Consider the following 19521-nt stretch of genomic DNA (forward strand, 5'->3'; position numbering starts at 1 on the left):
CCTGGCTGCTTCTAACAAAATACACTCATATGCATTTGCAAGAAGATGTTCTGAAATTGGAACTTATATTTAAAAGGCAAGCAAAGCATGAAAGTTTAGAAAATTTGCAACCTGGCCATGGGGTAGGAAAGAAAAACCTATTTTCTGGGAAGAAATTTAAGCCAGCTGTAGAAGGTTGCTTCAGTAAAGAGGAGCCTAATGTTAATACTCAAGACAATGGGGGAAATGCCTCCAGGGCATTTCAAAGACCTTCACAGCAGCCCCTCCTATCACAAGCCTAGGGGCCTAGGAGGGAAAAATGGTTTCATGGGCCAGGCCCAGGGACCTGCTACTGTGCAGCTTTGGGACATGGCAGTCTGCATTGTGGCCACTCAAGCTCCAGCCATTGTTAAGATGGGCCAAAGTACAGCTCAGGCCATTGCTTCAGAGGGTTCAAGCCCCAAGCCTTAGTGGTTTCCATGTTGTGTTGGGCCTGTGGGTATGCAGAAGGCTAGAGTTGAGGTTTGGGAGCATCTGCCTAGATTTCAGAGGATGTGTGGAAACACCTGGATGTCCAGGCAAAGTTTGCTGCAGGGGTGGGGTCCTCATGGAGAACCTCTACTAGGGCAGTGCAGAGGGGGAAATGTGGGGTTGGAGCCCCCGCAAAAAATACCCACTGGAGCACTACTTAATAAAAGCTGTGAGAAGAGGGCCACCATCCTCCAGACTCCAGAAGGGTAGATCTATTGACAGCTTGCATTGTGTGCCTGGAAAAGCCATAAACATTCAATGCCAGGCCATGAAAACAGTTGCAGGTTTTGTGCCTTGCAGAGCCACAGGGGCAGACCAGCCCAAGGCCTTGGAAGCCCACCCCTTCCATCAGTGTGCCCTGGATGTGAGACATAGAGTCAAAGGAGATTATTTTGGAGCTTCAAGATTAAATGACTGCCCTGCTGGGTTTTGGACTTGCATGGGGCTGCAGGCCCCTTTGTTTTGGCCAATTTCTTCCATTGGAATGGGAGCATTTGCTCAATGCCTGTACCCACATTGTATCTTGGAAGGACTACCTTGTTTTTTATTTTTCAGGCTCATAGGCATAAGGGACTTGCCTTTTCTTGGATATGACTTTAGACTTCGAGTTTTGGGTTAATGCTAGAATGAGTTAAGACTCTGGAGGACTATTGGGAAGGCATGATTGGTTTTGAAATGTGAAAAGGACATGAGGTTTGGGTGGAGCCAGGGGTGGAATGATATGGTTTGGCTGTGTCCCCACCCAAATCTCATTTTGAACTGTAATCCCCACCTGTTGAGGGAGGGACCTGGTGGAAGGTGATTGGATCATGGGGGATGTTTACCCCATGCTTTTCTCATGATAGTGAGTTTTCATGAGATCTGATGGCTTAAAAGTCTGTGGCATGTCCCTCTTTGCTGTCTTTCCTGCTGCCATGTGAAGACATGCTTGCTTCCCCTTCTCCCTTCTGCCATGGCTATAAGTTTCCTGAGGGCTTCTAGCCATGCTTCCTGTACAGCTATAAAACTGTGAATCAATTAAACCTCTTTTCTGCATAAATTGCTCAGTCTCAGGTAGTTCTTTATAGCAGTGTGAGAATGGACTAATATGGAAATCAAGATAGTTATTGTATATGGCTAAAGGACAGTGTATCCAGTACACTGAGTTTAGTAGTCAAGAATTATGAAGAAATATGCCAATTTAAAAATAAAAACTTAGTATATTGAGTCTTTGTCTATCTGCCATATCATATTTTATATTTGGTACTGTTTCTTTTTCTTGATTTTGACTGCTTCATAATACCATATTTTACATTCATGTATTTACTTTTCAAACAATGCAGTTAATAAAATAAATAAGAATTGGTGCATTATTAGATGATACCTGCATTTTAACAATCATTGTATTCTGTTATATGAATTGACATGTATAATTATAAAGAAATCCTACTTTAGTTAAGAAATATTTTTATAATTACTAGCAATTATGTAGTATTGTGGAGACTACTCATTATATTTTTTATAAAACTGGATTAGCATTTCCACTTTTGATCAGGTGTTGGTCTTGTGCCCTAAATGTACATGCAAAAGGAAGCAGAATATTGAAATTAATAAGAAACATCTGAATACACTTAAATTCATATTATTTATGGACTTTAAAAATTAGCCTTCTCTGATTTCACATCCAAGAAGTGTTTAGTCACTTAAGAAATAAGATGTCTTATTCAGCGTTATTATTAAACATATTTTTTATGAAACAAAAAGTTTTCTTAACTATTTTGTAGAATTTTTCAAATTATTTAGTTGCAATTTTTTCTTTTTTTTTTTTTTTGAGACAGAGTCTCTCTCTGTCACCCAGGCTGGAGTGCAGTGGCGCGATCTCCACTCACTGCAAGCTCCGCCTCCCAGGTTCATGCCATTCTCCTGCCTCAGCCACCTGAGTAGCTGGGACTACAGGCGCCTGCCACCATGCCTGGCTACTTTTTTTATTTTGTATTTTTAGTAGAGACGGGGTTTCACCATGTTAGCCAGGATGGTCTCGATTTCCTGACCTCGTGATCCGCCCACCTCAGCCTCCCAAAGTGCTGGGATTACAGGCATGAGCCACCGTGCCCAGCCTAGATGCAATCCTTTACCTGTAAAGAAACATATATTGACAGTTAATGTAACTGGAATTTTATTATTGGTGTCAAGAAAAATCTGATGCCATATGTGAACTCACCTTTTACTTTTGGGGAAATGTCATGAAAAACTGAAGGGGAGCAAGGGTTGATTACCTGGATAATCTTGCCTCTAGCAATCTTGGGCAAAAGGCCAATGATCTTGCATTTACATCAGGTACTTCACGATCAACTGATTCATGATGGGTAGCTGAATTGATGATTTGTTTTATCTTAGTGGTTCATTTAATTCTACTCATTAGAGTTTAGTGGAAGGCTTTTCTAAAAACACAGCAATTAGTCCTGGAAAATAGTGTAAATAAAAAATATTTATCTCAACATGAGATTTAATAAATATTGCATTTTGGAATGAAGAGCTTCTAATTAAAAGGGAGGCCACATGTCTTCATCTGCACACAAAAGTATCTGAGAACCAACTGGAACTCTATCTGTATAAATTCACCAGCATATACAACAGTACAAACAGGCTGCTTCTTCCAAATGAATTTGTATGCACACAAATTGAGATAATGTTCCCTATCTTACAATGGCATTTCTGAAATCTCTATTTTAATAGTTATCACTCACAAAAAGAGTTTTATGGTCAATTACATTGTGATATCCTCAGATAAACAGAATAAGGTAGTTGGCTTTCTTTCTAACTATTTTTCAGATCCATCTACTTTCTTTCCAACTGCTTCTTAGTGGAACTTCCCAGATTCATGAATATGCCAAAATGTACAGTGGACTGTCAAGAGAGGTGCATAGTGTATATTTTATAACTTATTTGGCCATGGAACACCATTTTCCTCTAAATACCCATTATCACGATGAGTGATTATTCCTTTAAAAAATAAGATGGGAAGACTCTTTCATAACATAACTTTCTAATAACTGCTTATGATCACTTATATCCTATTGTCTTATTGTTTTTGTGGCATCTTAAAAATAATTTTGGACTTAGAGTAAAGTTGCAATAATCATACAAAACAATCTTGTTTACTCTTTGCCCAGATTTCTCAATTGTTAACATTTTGTCACATTATTTTTTCCTTCTCCTCTCTCTTTTCCTCACCTGCCCCTCTCTATCCTGTCCCTCATGAACCATTTGAATGTAGTATCTTGCTACTCCAGTGACCAGCATGGTGCCCAAAACATGATAGGAACTTATTAAACAATTGATGATTAGTGAATAACATCTTTCAAAATTATATCTAAACAAAGTTAAATTATAAGAGGCTACCCTGGAACAATATTTAAGTGTGAAGTTTTTATCTATTATGAAAGGCCAGCAAATTGATTTTAAAAGTGAGAAATATTGGCTGGGCGCTGTGGCTCATACCAGTAATCCCAGCACTTTGGGAGGCTGAGGCGGGCGGATCACGAGGTCAGGAGATTGAGACCATCCTGGCTAACATGGTGAAACCCTGTCTCTATTAAAATACAAAAAAATTAGCCAGGTGTGGTGGCGGGTGCCTGTAGTCCCAGCTACTTGGGAGGCTGAGGCAGGAGAATGGTGTGAACCCGGGAGGCAGAGCTTGCAGTGAGCCAAGATCGCGCCACTGCACTCCAGCCTGTGTGACAGAGTGAGACTCTATCTCAAAAAAAAAAAAAAAAAAAAAAAAAAGGAGAAATATCATCTTACTATTTCTTAACAATTTTAGTTTTTGAAAATTTCCAAACCAAGAATCAGAACAAACCCATGATTGTATATATATATATTTTTCTGACTTATGGATGTGCTTATGTAGTGATCCAAAGCCAGATACCTTGTCTGGAAGGAAGAAGGTATGTTCAGCCCTGTGGTTTCAAGCTAGCTGGTACACTTACTTATTGATTGAATTAAAAGCTGCATGACTCTCTGTAAGAGTTATTGAATTCTGTCAGTTTGTTCTTTTCTGTGATCCTTTTTTCTGCGCGAACTGTGCTTTCTCACTTTCTCCTTCAGTTTATGTTTTTCCATCCAGAATAAATTTTATACTAGTATTAGTACATTTAAAGCTGAGAATGACTTGTTTATTTGTCCCAGAAAAAAAACCGACAATGTTTAATGGTCACGTCCAACCAGTTATGGTTTAAAATAAATCTATCTCTAATCAGCCTGGAGAATAAGAACAATGTTGATTGTGCAAAGTAGAGGTTATAGACTCCCATAAAATGTGACTTATTTGATTTCAAGAAGGGTATATGTTTTCATTTATATGAAATACCCAGAATAGTCAAATTCATAGATACAAATAGAATGGTAGTTGCTGGGACTGGAGAAAGGGGAAAATAGGGTTTTATTGTTTAATGGACATAGAGTTTCTGTTTGAGAAGATGAAAAATAATCTGGAGATGGATGGTGGTGATGGTTGCAAAACAGTGTGAATGTATCTAATGCTACTGAACTGTGCACTTAAAAATGGTTACAATGGTAAATTTTATGTTATGTGTATTTTACCACAATTTTAAAAAAACGAATACTAAATGCTATCAAAATTGCCTATTTACTTACAGAACTAGAAGTTTCCTTATGGTTTTTGAATCCATACAATTATGGTTATATTTTGCCCACATAAAATCAAATTTTATATTTAATATTTTAACTTTTTAATGATATATTCACTTGATACCTTTTCCACTTACAAAAACAGATTTGATTGGAGGGGTGGGAGGTGAGCTATATTTGAAACTTTGAGAGTCTGATGTGTGACCTGCAGTTGGGGGACCCATTGTACTCGTGGCTGGCTCATACCTGGGAAAGACAAAGCAGCCTGGGGAACAGCTAGGCAAGGCAGGCATTTCCCATGGAGTGGATTTGGATCCCACAGGAGAGAGCTGGCCTGGAGTCACATAAAGTGAGGGACTCCAACAGCAAAAATCTCCAGTCTCCATGAGGCCAAAGAGTTTTTACCCACAACACTTCTGACACCAAATGTGTAGGTTTTGCCACACCAACAATCAGTTCTCAAACTCTCTGGACACTAACTGGGTGTCCTATAATGCAGTTCAATTCTGATGTTAACTATCCACAGTTAGGCTGAAACTCCACATGTTTAAGAGCTTAGTCCCAAAAGGCTGCCAGACACAGATGCAAGCTCTAGTTCCAAGCTGTACTTCTGACAAGCGCCAGCTACAAATTAGGGGTTCCCATGGCCCCCTCCTCAGTTTCAATAATTTGCTAGAATGGCTCACAGAACTCAAAAAAGCACTTTACTTACATTCATTGATTTATTATAAAGGATACAGCTCAGGAACAACAAATGGAAGAGATAGATGCATAGGGAAAAGAATGGGGCATGGCAGATAGAGCTTCTATGCCCTCTCTAGGCAAGCCACTCTCCCAGCACCTCAATGTGTTTAACAATCTGGAAGCTCTCTGAATCCAGTTGTTTAGGTATTCTATGGAGGTTTCATTACATAGGCATGATTGATTAAATCCTTAACCATTGGTGATTAACTCAATCTCCAGCTCCTCTCTCCTCCCTGGATTTGCGGAGTGGGGCTGAAGGTTCCAAGCTTCTAATCAAGGTTTGATATTCCTGGTCACCAGTCCCCATCCTGAAGCTATCTAGGGATCCCCAACCACCAGTCATCTCATTAGCACAGAAAAGACATTCTAGAGTTTTGAAGGGTTTTAGGACCTATGTATCAGGAACTGGGGACAAAGACCAAATATTTATTTTTTATTATATGACAGTGAGGAATAGAATGTTATTTGTACTCTTTTTGTTGTTGTTGTTGTTTGTTTGTTTGAGAGGGAGTTTCGCTCTTGTTGGCCAGTCTGGAGTTCAATGGCATGATCTCAGCTCACTGCAACCTCCACCTCCCAGGTTCACGCGATTCCCCTGCCTCAGCCTCCTGAGTAGCCAGGATTACAGGCATGCGCCACCATGCCCGGCTAATTTCTTGTTTTTTTTTTAGTAGAAACAGGTTTCATCATGTTGGTCAGGCTGGTCTCAAACTCCTGACCTCAGGTGATCTGCCCATCTTGGCCTCCCAAAGTGCTGGGATTACAGGTGTGAGCCACCACGCCAGGCCTTGTACTCATTTTGAGATCATGAACTATTTATGTTCCTTTCCTCCTCTCCACCTATATCCAAATATTTATGGACAGGTCCAATATCAGTACTTTTCTTTAAGAAGTACTAATTTCATGTTAGAGAACAGTGTAGGGAACAAGCAAGGGGCATGATGAACTGCCTGAAGCTTTGCTTTGGGTTTGCTTTAAATGCCACGTCATAAATTCTGCAGTTTCCTTTCCTTGAGAGTATGACCCTCTCAGTTTTTGCTATTTGAGAGCGAGGATCTGTGGCCACAGATTTTCTACACTGTGCTATCCTCCCTCTTTTTCTTACTTCATCTCAACAATTTCTGGCGACAGATTTTCTATGCCATTGCCACTCTCCCTCTTTTTCTTTCCCTATCTCATAATCTCTAGCCTTTATAGAATAATAATTATATATTAGACGTATGGAAATAGAATATCAGTGCAGCTACTTTTTCAGCTGCAATCACCTTCTCTGCTATTCTCATTCTAAGCAAAGGAACATAATATGTCTGTATTAGTTTGTTCTCATGCTGCTAATAAAGACATACCCAAGACTGGGTAATTTATAAAGAAAAGAGGTTTAATTGACTCATAGTTCCACAAGGCTGGGGACCTCACCATCATGGTAGAAGGCAAATGAGGAGCAAAGTCACATCTTACATGGTGGCAGGCAAGAGAGCTTGTGTAGGGGAACTCCCCTTTATAAAATCATCAGATCTCATGCGACTTATTCACTATCACAAGAACAGTATGCAAAGTGTCCATTCCCATGATTCAATTATCTCCCCCAGGTCCCTCCCACAACACGTGAGAATTATGGGAACTACAATTCAAGATGAGATTTGGGTGGGGACACAGCCAAACCATGTCAATGTCTTTCAGGACTGTGATACTAAGGAAATCTCTTTTTGGCTCAAGCCATGAGCCATCTTTCAGTCTCCTTTCTAGTCTTAGACCAACTCTTGCAGTATTTCATGGATAGTGTTTCACAGTTTGGCCATATAGTTTGTGGCATTGACAAATTGTCAATCACATTTTGTCTCTGTCGTTTTCATTTTTAGACAACAGACAGCAAAAACTTAAGATGTTACTTGATGAAATTTCTGGATCCTTATTCTAAACCCAATCCTGAAGACACCATAGAAGTGAGAGGGAAAATGGTACATCTAAGAAGATACTGGAAAAACTAAAAAGTCTCTGAGGAGACCGAAGTTGGCTGGTTCCCAGGTTCCAGCTGAAATGATAGCCTAGGAGAGGAAAGGGCAGGGGGTCACAGATGGAGGAAGCGTGAATGCAGAAGGAGGGCCCTGAGAGGCGGAGGTTGCAGTGAGCTGAGATCATGCCACTGTACTCCAGCCTGGTGACAGAGCGAGACTCTGTCTCAAAAATAAATAAATAAATAAATAAATAAACAAACAAACAAATAAATAAATAAATAAAATTAATTAATTTAAAAAAAGGAGGGCTCTGAATGGATCTTGCCTTCTCTGTCACATCTTGAGACAAAAAGAGAAACCTAGGTCAGTGTGAGTAACACGATGGCAGTGTTTGAGCCCAGGGGAAGTGGGGAGGAATAAAATAAGTGCAGACAATTGAGTTGGCCCTGGACTCTGCCACCTCCCTTGCCTCTCCCACTGTTCCACACTCCAAGAACAAGTACTTACAACTGAGGAAGACAGTTGTAAAAAAGAAAAGTGTTGGAGTACTGGGATGGACAGGCCTCAGAGAGGAGGCTGGGGTAGCAAATTGGAGGCCAGATTGTGTAGTCTTGAATATTTCTTAAGATTATTGTGCATTCCCTTTATGCATTCTCTTTAAGGCTGGGAACAAAAATAGACTTTCTCTACTTTCAATCCTGATCAACATAGTGTTGGAATCAGCCCGTGAAATATGGCAATAAATAAGAGGTTAAGGGTTGGAAGTGGAGAAAGTAAAATGAAATGAAAACCGTAAGATCATTTACATTTGAAAAAGCTTCATCAACTAAAAAACTGTTAGAACTAATAAGAGAGTGTAGCGGGTTTTCTTAGCCCATGATATTTCTTTACACCAGCAATAACTAACTAGAAAATGCAGCAGAAATGCATTATCCACAAGAGCATTTTAAGAAATCTGAGGTACATATTTATAGAAAATAAACACTTTATTATTTTTCTTCTGCCATTCTTTTTCTCTTTTATACTGGTTACATAATGTGGTTATAATGGTTAACATTAAAATGTTTCATAATTTCCTTGATATCAAAGCAAAGTTGTTACTGTACTAGAAGAAGAATGAACAGCACCCAGAAATGGAAATAATCTTTAACAAATCCACAAAACTTTTATAGAGAAAATTTAAAAACATTATCGTAGGACATAAAAGAAAGCCTAAATAGAGAGCCATACTGTATTCATTGATGGACAACTTAATATTGTAACGATGTAAATTATCCCAAGATCGTTCTATAAATCCAATGTCATTTTAATAATAAATCCAAGAGTACTTTTGAGGCTTTTATCAAATCCATTAAAAATGTATATGTAAAAAGAAAATCCCACTGATAAAATCTTGCAGGGACTTGTCTTATATTAAGGACCAGATCTTTACTGTATTCAAACTTAACCTATCTGAATAGGCAATCTTAGATTCCCATTTTACTCCTTGAAGATTTTCAACCATTTATGGTACCAATTACCACACGGGCCAGTCTTCTTAGTTGACAACAACAGAATCCCCTCTATTTTGAGCAGAAGGAGGTTTATTAAAGGGTATGAATAGCTCATGGAATCATTGGAAGGGCTGACAAAACAGACTACACTGAGCATCCACGATGTCTGTCTTGACACCCTTAACAGCATCCACGCACACTCTCTTCCCCATTCTCAAATTTTGAAGAAACAGCATGTTCTTACCTAATATAATGCAACTAACCTCACACAAACTTATTCAATTTTCCTGCAAAAGGATATACCAAAATCTCAACATTTTAAAGCAATATGCCACTTTATGACCATTAAATTATCAAAAAGTAGAAAGGTACTATCAAATATTAATGAGAAGGTGGGGAGACAAAAACTCTCATGTACTGTTGGTGAAAGAGTAAACTGGCTTGGTTGTCCTAAAAAGCAAGAATAGGTACTAAAGTACTCAGGAAAATTAAGAATGTATATATGACAATGGAATTTCACTCCTGGATTCATATCCTAAGGAAACTCTTTCATAGTCTTTTTATAGACTCATAAAAAGACTATATAAGGATATTCATCATAATGTGTCTAGTTACAGTGAGGAGTTGGAGGTTACACTGGGAAATCATGAAGAGAAAATGGCAGATGCGCACCACAGAAGCAACACATTTGATGCACATAGAACAATGTGGGTAAATCTGAAAGGCATAATGTTGTCCCACAAGTAAGAAACAAAACACTGTCTATACCACAGTGCCATTATGTAAGTTAATACACACATACAAAATGTACTTATAAGTATCTAGTCATACAAAAGGGCACATATCAAGCACATTGAAGAAGGTAACCATGTGGTAGAGAGAATGGAAGTGGGAATAAGAAATAAAGTAGAGAAAATAATAAAAATGATGAACCTTGCATATATATGTCAGGATGGTGAACTCCACACAAATAAATGGGGTTAGTTCAACTCCACACCTGGTGGTTTGGGTTAGTTGGGTTTTTGTTGTTTTTATTGTTTTTTTTTTTTTTTTTACAGCGGAGATATTCTGTGATTATGGCATCCCATTTTCCCCAGTTAATTATAATAATTAAAAATTTAAAAATTGCTCCAAAGGTACAGATGTATTTTAATTTTGAAAATAGTCCTGACTCATCTGTGTCTCTAAGGAGACTTCACTAAATCTTCAGTCTTATTCATCTCCAAGCTGCTTATTTTCTTGATTCCATCTAATCTTGGCAAAGGAAAGGGAAGGTTAGAACAATCTTTCAAAACTTTGAAAATAGTTCTAATTGCTCTACATTTAGACAAAGTTACTGGTTACTTAATTGTCACTTAGAGCTCTTTTTGGATAGCAGGCAGCCATTCTAGGCTATAAAGGTGGTTTCATGGAAATGTTCCTTCCTTGACAGAAGGAAGACGTTGGAGAATTCACATGCTATTTTAGCTGGCTCTGTGATTGCAATCACACAAATCATTACATTCCAGCGAGATCCCATCAACAGAAGGTTTTTCCATTTCAGTCTGTCAAGGTAAAACATTATCTTTTCATTTTCTGTATACTCCAGGATATCAAGAAATTATGGAATGTAAGCTATACTTACAATAGCATTTTCTAAGTCTACCTTGATGGTCAGAGGTAAGAAAAAGAGAGAGGAAGAGAGCTTTTTTGCTCTCAGTTACATTAAAATATTCATTCAGGTAAAAAATATATATATTGGATTGGCTTCCTTTTATTCAAGTTTTATAATTTCCTGCAATCTCACTTCATGAGTTAATGTTGCAGAGCAAGATAATGATTGTCTTCTAGAAACCTATGTAGTGCCATAGAACCAGAATGGGTGGGTGCAAAGAACAGAAATGAAATTAGAAGGTTAATGGACTGCAGATTTTTCATGCATTTTTCCAGATGTTCATTCTGGCCTTCTGTTCCTTTCTTCAGGACTTGTATTTATGCACATGTAACACCATGAGGAATCAGATAATACAAACAGGGAATATCTCTTGGGCTATTCAGTTTTGGCTTTATATTTCAACTATGTTGATGACTGCTGGTTACATTTTTACTCAATTTAGGTGGTCTGATTTAAATGTAGGAGATCACATAAGGGATGGTGGGAATGGGTACCTCAAGTGAAAGCTTTTACATTCAGTAATGCAGATTTAATTGCTCAGGATGCTCTAGCCTGGGAAACTCAGCTTATCCAGATTTCCTGAGAACTGATCATTGCTAAGAATTTTCTGAGGTCTGGTATGTGTGGCCTCCATTCATACTGAGGGAAGACTGTCTCTTAGGAGCAGAGGATTGCTTAGCAATTGAAAACAGAATTTTGTCTTTTTAGAAATTAATAATGTAAGATATAAGCCCTTTGGCTATTAAAAATATTTCTCCATACAGGCCAGCCCCTTCAGCCCCAGGCTGCAGGTCCACCAAAGGTTTCAGACCAGCCCAGATTCAGGTTGTCCCACATAACTCCACACTTTGAACTTTCCCTAGTACCAGGTAAACACCCCTGGCCTTGGGCATGAGGCCAGAACCTATAGACATAAGCTCCAGGCCTGCCCAATATCAGGCTAGTCCCTAGCCCCTGCAGCCTTATACTCCAGCAGACTCAGGTTCCAGGCCCATCACAGTAGATGTCAGTGCCAGACTCACCCCCAAAGACTGAGGCACCAGGTCAACTCCTCAGGCTGCTAGACTGTACCAGTGGACCCAGATCAGGTACCAAGCCCACCCACCTGCTGACCCAGGCACTGGGCCAGCCTGCTTAAGGACTTTAGTAGCAAGCTCACCCACAGACCATGCCAGGCATCCTGCAGAGGATATCTGGACGAGCTGACTGGTGAAGTGCATTCTCAGACATAGCCAGTCTGAAAAGACTGCAAAAAGTGCCTTCTTCTTCAAATGCACAGACAACAGCACAAAGCAATAAGAAACACGAAGAAAACAAGGATATAACACCACCAAAGAAACACAATAACCTCAAAATGAAAATATTAAAACTGCCTGACAAATAATTCAAAATAATTGTTTCAAGAAAGCTCAGGGAATTTCATAAAAATACAGATAGGTAGTACAACAAAATCAGGAAAGCAATAAATGACCAAAATGATAAATTTAATAAGGAGATTTAAATCATTTTAAAAGTCAGATTTGGGAGCCGAAAAATATAAAGAATGAAATGAAAAACGCAATAGAGGGCATCAGCAGCAGAACTGATAAAGCAAAAGAAAGTATGAACTTGAAACAGGTTATTTGAAAAATAAAGACAAGGAAAAAGAATCAAAAGGATTGAAGAAAACATACAGAAATTATGGGACAGCATCAAAAGAGAAAATGTTTGGGTTACAGGAGCTCATAAAGGAGAAGACAGAATAAAGAGGTAGAAGCTTATTAAAGAAATAATAGCAGAAAACTTTCCAAATCTGGAGAAAAATATAAATATCCAGATACAGGAAGGTCAAAGGTCTGCCATCAGATTCAATTCAAACCAAAACCACACAAAAACTGAGAACTGACCAATGCAACAGAAATTCCTGAGGTCTAGTATGTGTGGTCTCCATTCACAACTGAGGGAAATCTGTCTCTTAAAAGACAGTCTATTGGAAACAGAATTTTGTCTTTTTAGAAATTAATATTGCAAGATATAAGCCCATTATAATCGAATAGTCAAATGTCAAAGACAAAGAGAGGAGCCTGAAAGCAGCAAAGGAAAATAATCAAATAACATATGAAGGAATTCCAAAAAGACTAGCAGTGGATTTCTCAGCAAAAATTGACAGGTCAGAAGAGAGGAATTATATGTTCAAAGTGCTAAAGAATGACACCTTCAACCAAGAGAACTATACCTGACAAAGCTGTCCCTTAAAAATGAAGAAGAAATCAAGATGTTCCCAGACTAACAAAGGGAGTTCATTAAACCAGGCCTTTCTTTATAAGAAATGTTAAAAGAAGTTCTTTAAGCTGAAAGAAAAGGACACCAATTAGTAACACAAAAGCATGTGAAAGTGTAAAACTCACTGATAAAAATAAGTATGTTATTGGGCCAGGTGCAGTGGCTCATGCCTTTAATTCCAGCACTTTGGGAGGCCAAGGCGTGCAGTTCATGAGGTCAGGAGATCGAGACCATCCTGGCTAACATGGTGAAACCCCATCTCTACTAAAGAAAAATACAAAAAATTAGCCAGGTGTGGTGGCACGCGCCTGTAGTCCCAGTTACTCGGGAGGCTGAGGGAGGAGACTCACTTGAACCTGGGAGGTGAAGGTTGCAGTGAGCTGAGATGGTGCAACTGCACTCCAGCCTGGGCAAGAGAGGGAGACTCTGTCTCAAAAGAAAAAAAAGTATATTATCAAATTCAGAATATTTTAATACTGTAAGATTCATTTGCTTCTTTAGTATAAAGGTTGAAAACCAAAACTATTAAAAATAATTTTAAAGTAATTCAATAGTTTTTTTAAAAAGCTAAAATACTTTGGTAAATGATACACAATATAAAAAGATATAAATTGTGAAATCAAAAATACAAGATGGAGATGGGTTGGAGTAAAAGTATAGAGTAAAAGTATAACCTTTTTTGAGGTTAGGAAAAAAATATAACATGATTTTTCTTTTGAAATCATTCCACAATGATGAATAGATGCAAGTGGGGCATTCAAGAGCTTAGTCTATTTATGAACAGAAAAAGGAAGAAAACTTCCTCTAGAGTTGCTAACTATAAATTTCAGCTCTTCTCATTCTTTTTCTTAATTGATAAGGGTATTTAGGGGATCTATTTCCCACAAGTATGTATCATATCTTTGTGCTGGAACATTTCACTCTCTTCTAGTTATTTTAAAATATGCATACATTGTTGTTAACTGTAGTCACCTTACTTTGCTATTACTTATCATTGTGGTTTGGTAGTTTTTCTGTAGTGGTAATAATTGAGTCCTTTCTCTTTCATATTTGTGTGTTTGCTTTACCAGTGGGTCTATACTTTTGTGTGTTTTCATGATAGATTTATCCTTTTGCTTCCAAGTGTAGGACTTCCTTAGGCATTTCTTATAGGGCCATTCTAGTGGTGATTGATTCCCTCAGCTTTTGCTTGTCTGGAAAAGACTATTTCTCCTTCATTTATGAAGGGTAATATTTCTGGGTATAGCATCCTTGGTTGGCAGTTTATTTCTTTCAGCACTTTGAATATATCATCCCACTCTCTCCTGGCCTGTGAAGTTTCTGCTGAGAAATCCACTATTAGTCTGATGGAGGTTCCCCTTTATAAGTGGCTAGATGCATTTCTCATGCTGTTTTTACAATTCTGTTTTTGTCTTTTACTTTTAACAGTTTGTCTATAATGTGCTGTGGAGAAGACATTCGTTTTTAATTGTATCTATTTGGGGATCTCTGAGTTTCCTGTATCTGAATGTACAAATTTCTAACTAGACTTGGGGACTTTTCTGCTAGTTTTATTAAATATGGTTTTTTTTTTTTTTTGGAATGAGTCTCGTTCTGTCACCCAGGCTGGAGTGCAGTGGCGTGATCTCCGCTCACTGCAAGCTCCACCTCCCAGGTTCACGCCATTCTCCTGCTTCAGCCTCCCAAGTAGCTGGGACTACAGGCACCCGCCACCACGCCTGGCTAATTTTTTTTGTATTTTTAATAGAGATGGCGTTTCACCGTGTTAGCCAGGATGGTCTCGATCTCCTGACCTCGTGATCTGCCCGCCTTGGCCTCCCAAAGTGTTGGGATTACAAGCCTGGACTATTAAATATGTTTTCTAACCCTTTGTTTTTCTGTTACCTTCTGGGACACTAGAAATTTGACTATTTGGTTGTTTAATGGTGACCTATAAGTCACATAGGCTTTGTTTATTCTTTTTTTAAATTTTTGTCTGACTGGGTATTTCAAAAGACCTATCTTCAAGTTCTGAAATTCTTTCTTCTGCTTCATTTAGTATATTGCTGAAGCTCTCTTAATGTATTTTTATTTCATTCAATGAATTACTCAGTTTCAGGATTTCAGTTTTGTTTTTTTAAATCATATCTATCTTTTTGGCAGATTTCTCATTCATAACCTGATTTGTTTTTCTGATTTCTTTGTATTATTTAGCTGTGTTCTCTTGTATAAGTAATGGATGTGCTTTGGTCAAGGATAGGCCAAGGTAAACATCCTGCATGAGTCAGTGAGTTTGTTGCACAATCACATAACTCCACTTGTTATATAATCACAACCACGTACCCATAACATGGGAAGGCTCATCGCTTGCTCAGAGCCATTATTGTCTGTAAAAGGTATAATTGCCCTGCTGACACTGTACAGGCATGCTTGCGCCCAGAGAAAGAGAGAAATCCAGGGCTGTTCATCTTGCAGACGGACAGTGGAAAGCCAGGACACAGCTTGTCTTGCTTGTGCCCAGAGAAAGAGTTAAGCTGCTGACCCTGAAGGGAGAGCCGGCCATGCAGTAGTACATGGGAGAGGCTGGAGCAGGCAGCTGAGACAGAGACAGACAGTGTAAGAGTGCTGCTGAATAAAGCCGTATTTCACCTACCTGCAGCCCCCCGAGTGTTCTTTCAGCTGTCTGCCATTCATCCACCCACTTCCTTTGGACCTCAGCATAGGCTGGAACCTGACCCTGGACCTGACATCTTATATCTCAGTAAGCTGCTTTGATATTATTATTTTGAATTCTTTTTCTAGAATTTCACAAATTTCCTTTTCATTGGGATCTCTTGCTAGAGAATTATTGTGTTGCTTTTAGAGTTGTCCTATTTCCTTGCTTTTTCATGTTTCTTGTGTTTTTATATTGATATTTGTACGGGTAGTGTAACAGTCATTTCTTCCAATAGTTTAAATTTGTTTTTGTAGGGGATAACTTTTTCCTTATAATGTATCTATGGATTTGGCTGAGTAGGGAACTTAGGCTTTAATTCTGGGTGCTTACAGTAGTGTGTTTCATGCAATTTCTTTGGCTGTCAGCAGCATCAGTGGGATCTGTGGTTTCCTCAGTAGCTTAGGGTGTAATTGTTAGTGGAGGCTGTGGTGAAGTTATGTTAGGGACAGGGATGTCAGGTGGGCCAGTCCCTGGGGCTCCAGTGGTGGCAGCAATAGGGCTGACTATATCTGTCTTTGGGCTCCAGGGTTGTGTATGTCAGCACCAGTGTTAGTGGTCCAAGTGGGCTGATTCTTGGGCCTCCAAGCAACTTGCTTGAGTACCAGCAGTGTCAGGGGTAGGACACGCAGGTGGGCAGGTTCCAAGGCCCCTGGATGGCAGGTGTGGTGTGGGCAATGGCAATAGCAATGGTGGGATAACCTTTTGGCTCCCAAGAGGTTTGGACTGGTATTGGTGTCTGTGACCGGCTGGCTGGGACAGTACACAGGCCCACAAGTGGTGCATGTGGGTAGGTGTCAGCTGGTGATAGCTGCAAGCTGGGTGGGCTTCTCCTCAGGCTCCCAGAGGAGTGCTCAGGTGCAAATAGTCATAGGTGGGGTAGGCTGATCTCCAGGCCCCTGGATGGTGTGATTGAGCACTGGTGGTAGTGAAGCCAGGCTGAGTGGGCCTATCTTCAGGTGCCCTAGTGGTGCATATAGAAGCTGGCTATTATGGCTAGGGGAAGGATAATCCCCAGGCTCCAAGCAGAGAGCTTGGGTGGGGGCAGCAGCAACTGTGTTGCAGCTCTGTTGCCAGGGAGTATAGAATTGCTTTCAGTGGCAGAAGCCATAGGTTGGTGGCTTCTGCTCCAGGTGACAGCTGTCAGCCAGGGAACCTGTCCTCATGGCACTTGTAAATGCATGGCCACCTGCTGCTGGGAGAAGTGGTGTTGCTGCCAGTGGCTTATGCTTTGGCCATGGTGATGGCAGCTAGCAGGGGCAGTTGCTGTGGGTGGGGCAGTTTGTCCTTAGAGGGCTTATAAATGCACAGCAGCCCCACTGTTGGAGGTGGTGTGATCACTTCATTGGGATGCACTTTGTCACATGGCAACAGCAGCCGGCAGTGGTGGTGGACCCTTTTGTCAGGATGCGTGAAAATGCATAGCAGCCCCACTGCTGGGGGCAGTGCTGTTGCTGCCAGTGGCTTTCACTTTGGCCCTGGTGGCAGCAGCCAGCAGTGGCAGAAGCTGCAGGCAGAGGATGTCATGGGGCTCAATGCAAAGATGCTCGTTATTGTGGAGATGCAGGAGCTGTTGGGCCCCAGGGCAGAATAAAGTCTGGTGGGGGCTGGCCTTCAAAATGGCACTGTGCTGTAGCTGTTTAGGATTCAGGAGGTGTGTGGGACCCAGTGTAACCTTCCTTTTTGGAGCAATGCCATTGTGCAATCTCCGGGCATCTCCCTAGTTTAGTCTCATGCCAGAGGGTGGAGGTGCTCACGCATGGCTAAGATTGCAGGAGTCTGTAGTGGGCATATAGACCCCTGGGGAACTCTCACTTTTCCCTGCATTGGATAACCTCTCTAGGCTCCCAGCTGATCCTGGCCAAGCAGGCTGCCTCACTTCCTTGCCTTAGGTGTGTCCTCTCACTTCTCTGTTGAATTCCAGTGTTCTCTCTTAGACAATTTATTTGAAGTGTGACTATCTACTCACTATGCTGGTTCTTCTTTGTGGAGGAGGTGAATGCCAGATGCCTCTTGTTAGCCGTCTTGAAGCCCCTCCTAATGTAGTTTTTGTATGTAACCAAAGTTAAGTTGTTAACAGCTTAAAATAGCCTGTTATAAGATGTTTTATATTAAGTCTCATGGTAACCACAAAGCAAAAACCTGCAATAGATACACAAAAAGGAATAAAATCATACCAGTTGAGAAAATTAGGTAATCACAATGGAAAACAGAAAAAGAGAAACAAAGAATCTACAAAACAATCAGAAAATGATTAACAAAATGGCAATAATAAGTTCTTACCTATCAACAATTACCTTGAATATAAAATGGACTAAATTCTCCAATCAAAGGACAAAGAGTGGCTGAATAGATTAAAAAAAAAATCAGAACAAATATATACTGCCTACAAGAGACTTACTTCACACTTAAGGACATATATGTTGAAGAGATATGTGCACTTCCATGCTCACTACAACATTATTCACAATAACCAAGATGTGAAATCCTAAATGTTCATCAATAAATGAATGGATTAAAAAATATGGTATATATACATAATAGAATACTATTCAGCCTTAAAAGAAGAAAATACTGTCATTTGTAATAACCCAAAGGACATTATGCTAAATGAAATAAGCCAGGCACAGAAAGACAAATACCACATGGTCTCACATTTATGTGGAATCTAACAAATTTGAACTTAAAAGTAGACAGTAGAGTGTTAGTTATCAGGTGCTGGGTGATGGGTTGGGAGATGTTGGTCAAAGGATACAAAATTTTAGTTAGATAGGAGGAATAATTTCAAGAGAGCTATTGTACCATATGGTGGCTATAGTTAATAATAATATATTGTATTTTGAAAATTAATAAGAGTAGGTTTTGTGTTCTTATCACAAAAATGATAAGTATGTCAGGTAATGCATGTTAATTAACTCAGTTGAACCAAAATGTAGCATATCTCAAAACATCATGTTGTACATAACATGCAATTTTTATTTATCAATTTAAAAAGCTAAAATAAAATATTCGTCCTTGGAAAAGATAATCCAAAATGATTTCCTTTCCTGTTTCAGTTTTTCAGGCATGAATACTGTAAGCAAGAAGAGAAAAGTTACAATAAATTGACATTTATAGTTGAAGTTGACCTCTAACCTGTGAAGCTTTCTTGAACATTCCCTCACTGAAAACTCCTTTTCATTACTTTTCCTGTATTGTATCTCTACATGCTCATGAGCAGTTTAAATCATTGGCAGATCTGGATAGTATCTGCTAAAAACATGTTGGCACCTAGATTCCACTGTTACTAACTAAACATGAAGCTAAAAATAAATGAGAGATGCTAGAGATTTGAGTAATTCCACAGTCTCATCATAAATGGCAGCAAGCAGATTCTGTTGACCATGGTCTGCTTGTTGCAGAAAGATAAAACCCAATATCAAAATTGTTCGGGTGATAATCTTCTGCACTTTATCTTCCAGATGGAAAATAACCTACACTCTTCAAATCCTTAAATATTTTTGTGCTCACATTTTCCAAATACTTAAGGCTGTTATTCCGAGATAGTGAGAACCAGCCCAATCTGTCATCTTATCTCCCTTT

At 39.4% G+C, this 19521-nt stretch overlaps 1 long non-coding RNA gene across 1 annotated transcript in view; it reads left to right on the forward strand.

Moving 5' to 3' along the window:
• LINC01500 (long intergenic non-protein coding RNA 1500) overlaps positions 1–19061 on the forward strand; it is a 189041-nt gene extending 169980 nt beyond the window's left edge. The window contains exons 5-6 of the long non-coding RNA NR_110547.1: positions 10764–10883; positions 18996–19061. This is a non-coding gene — a long non-coding RNA (long intergenic non-protein coding RNA 1500). The remainder of the gene's footprint in view (positions 1–10763; positions 10884–18995) is intronic.
• The last annotated feature ends 460 nt before the right edge of the window (positions 19062–19521 follow it).

The sequence above is a fragment of the Homo sapiens genome, chromosome 14, assembly GCF_000001405.40.
Source record: "Homo sapiens chromosome 14, GRCh38.p14 Primary Assembly".
Lineage (NCBI taxonomy): Eukaryota > Metazoa > Chordata > Mammalia > Primates > Hominidae > Homo > Homo sapiens.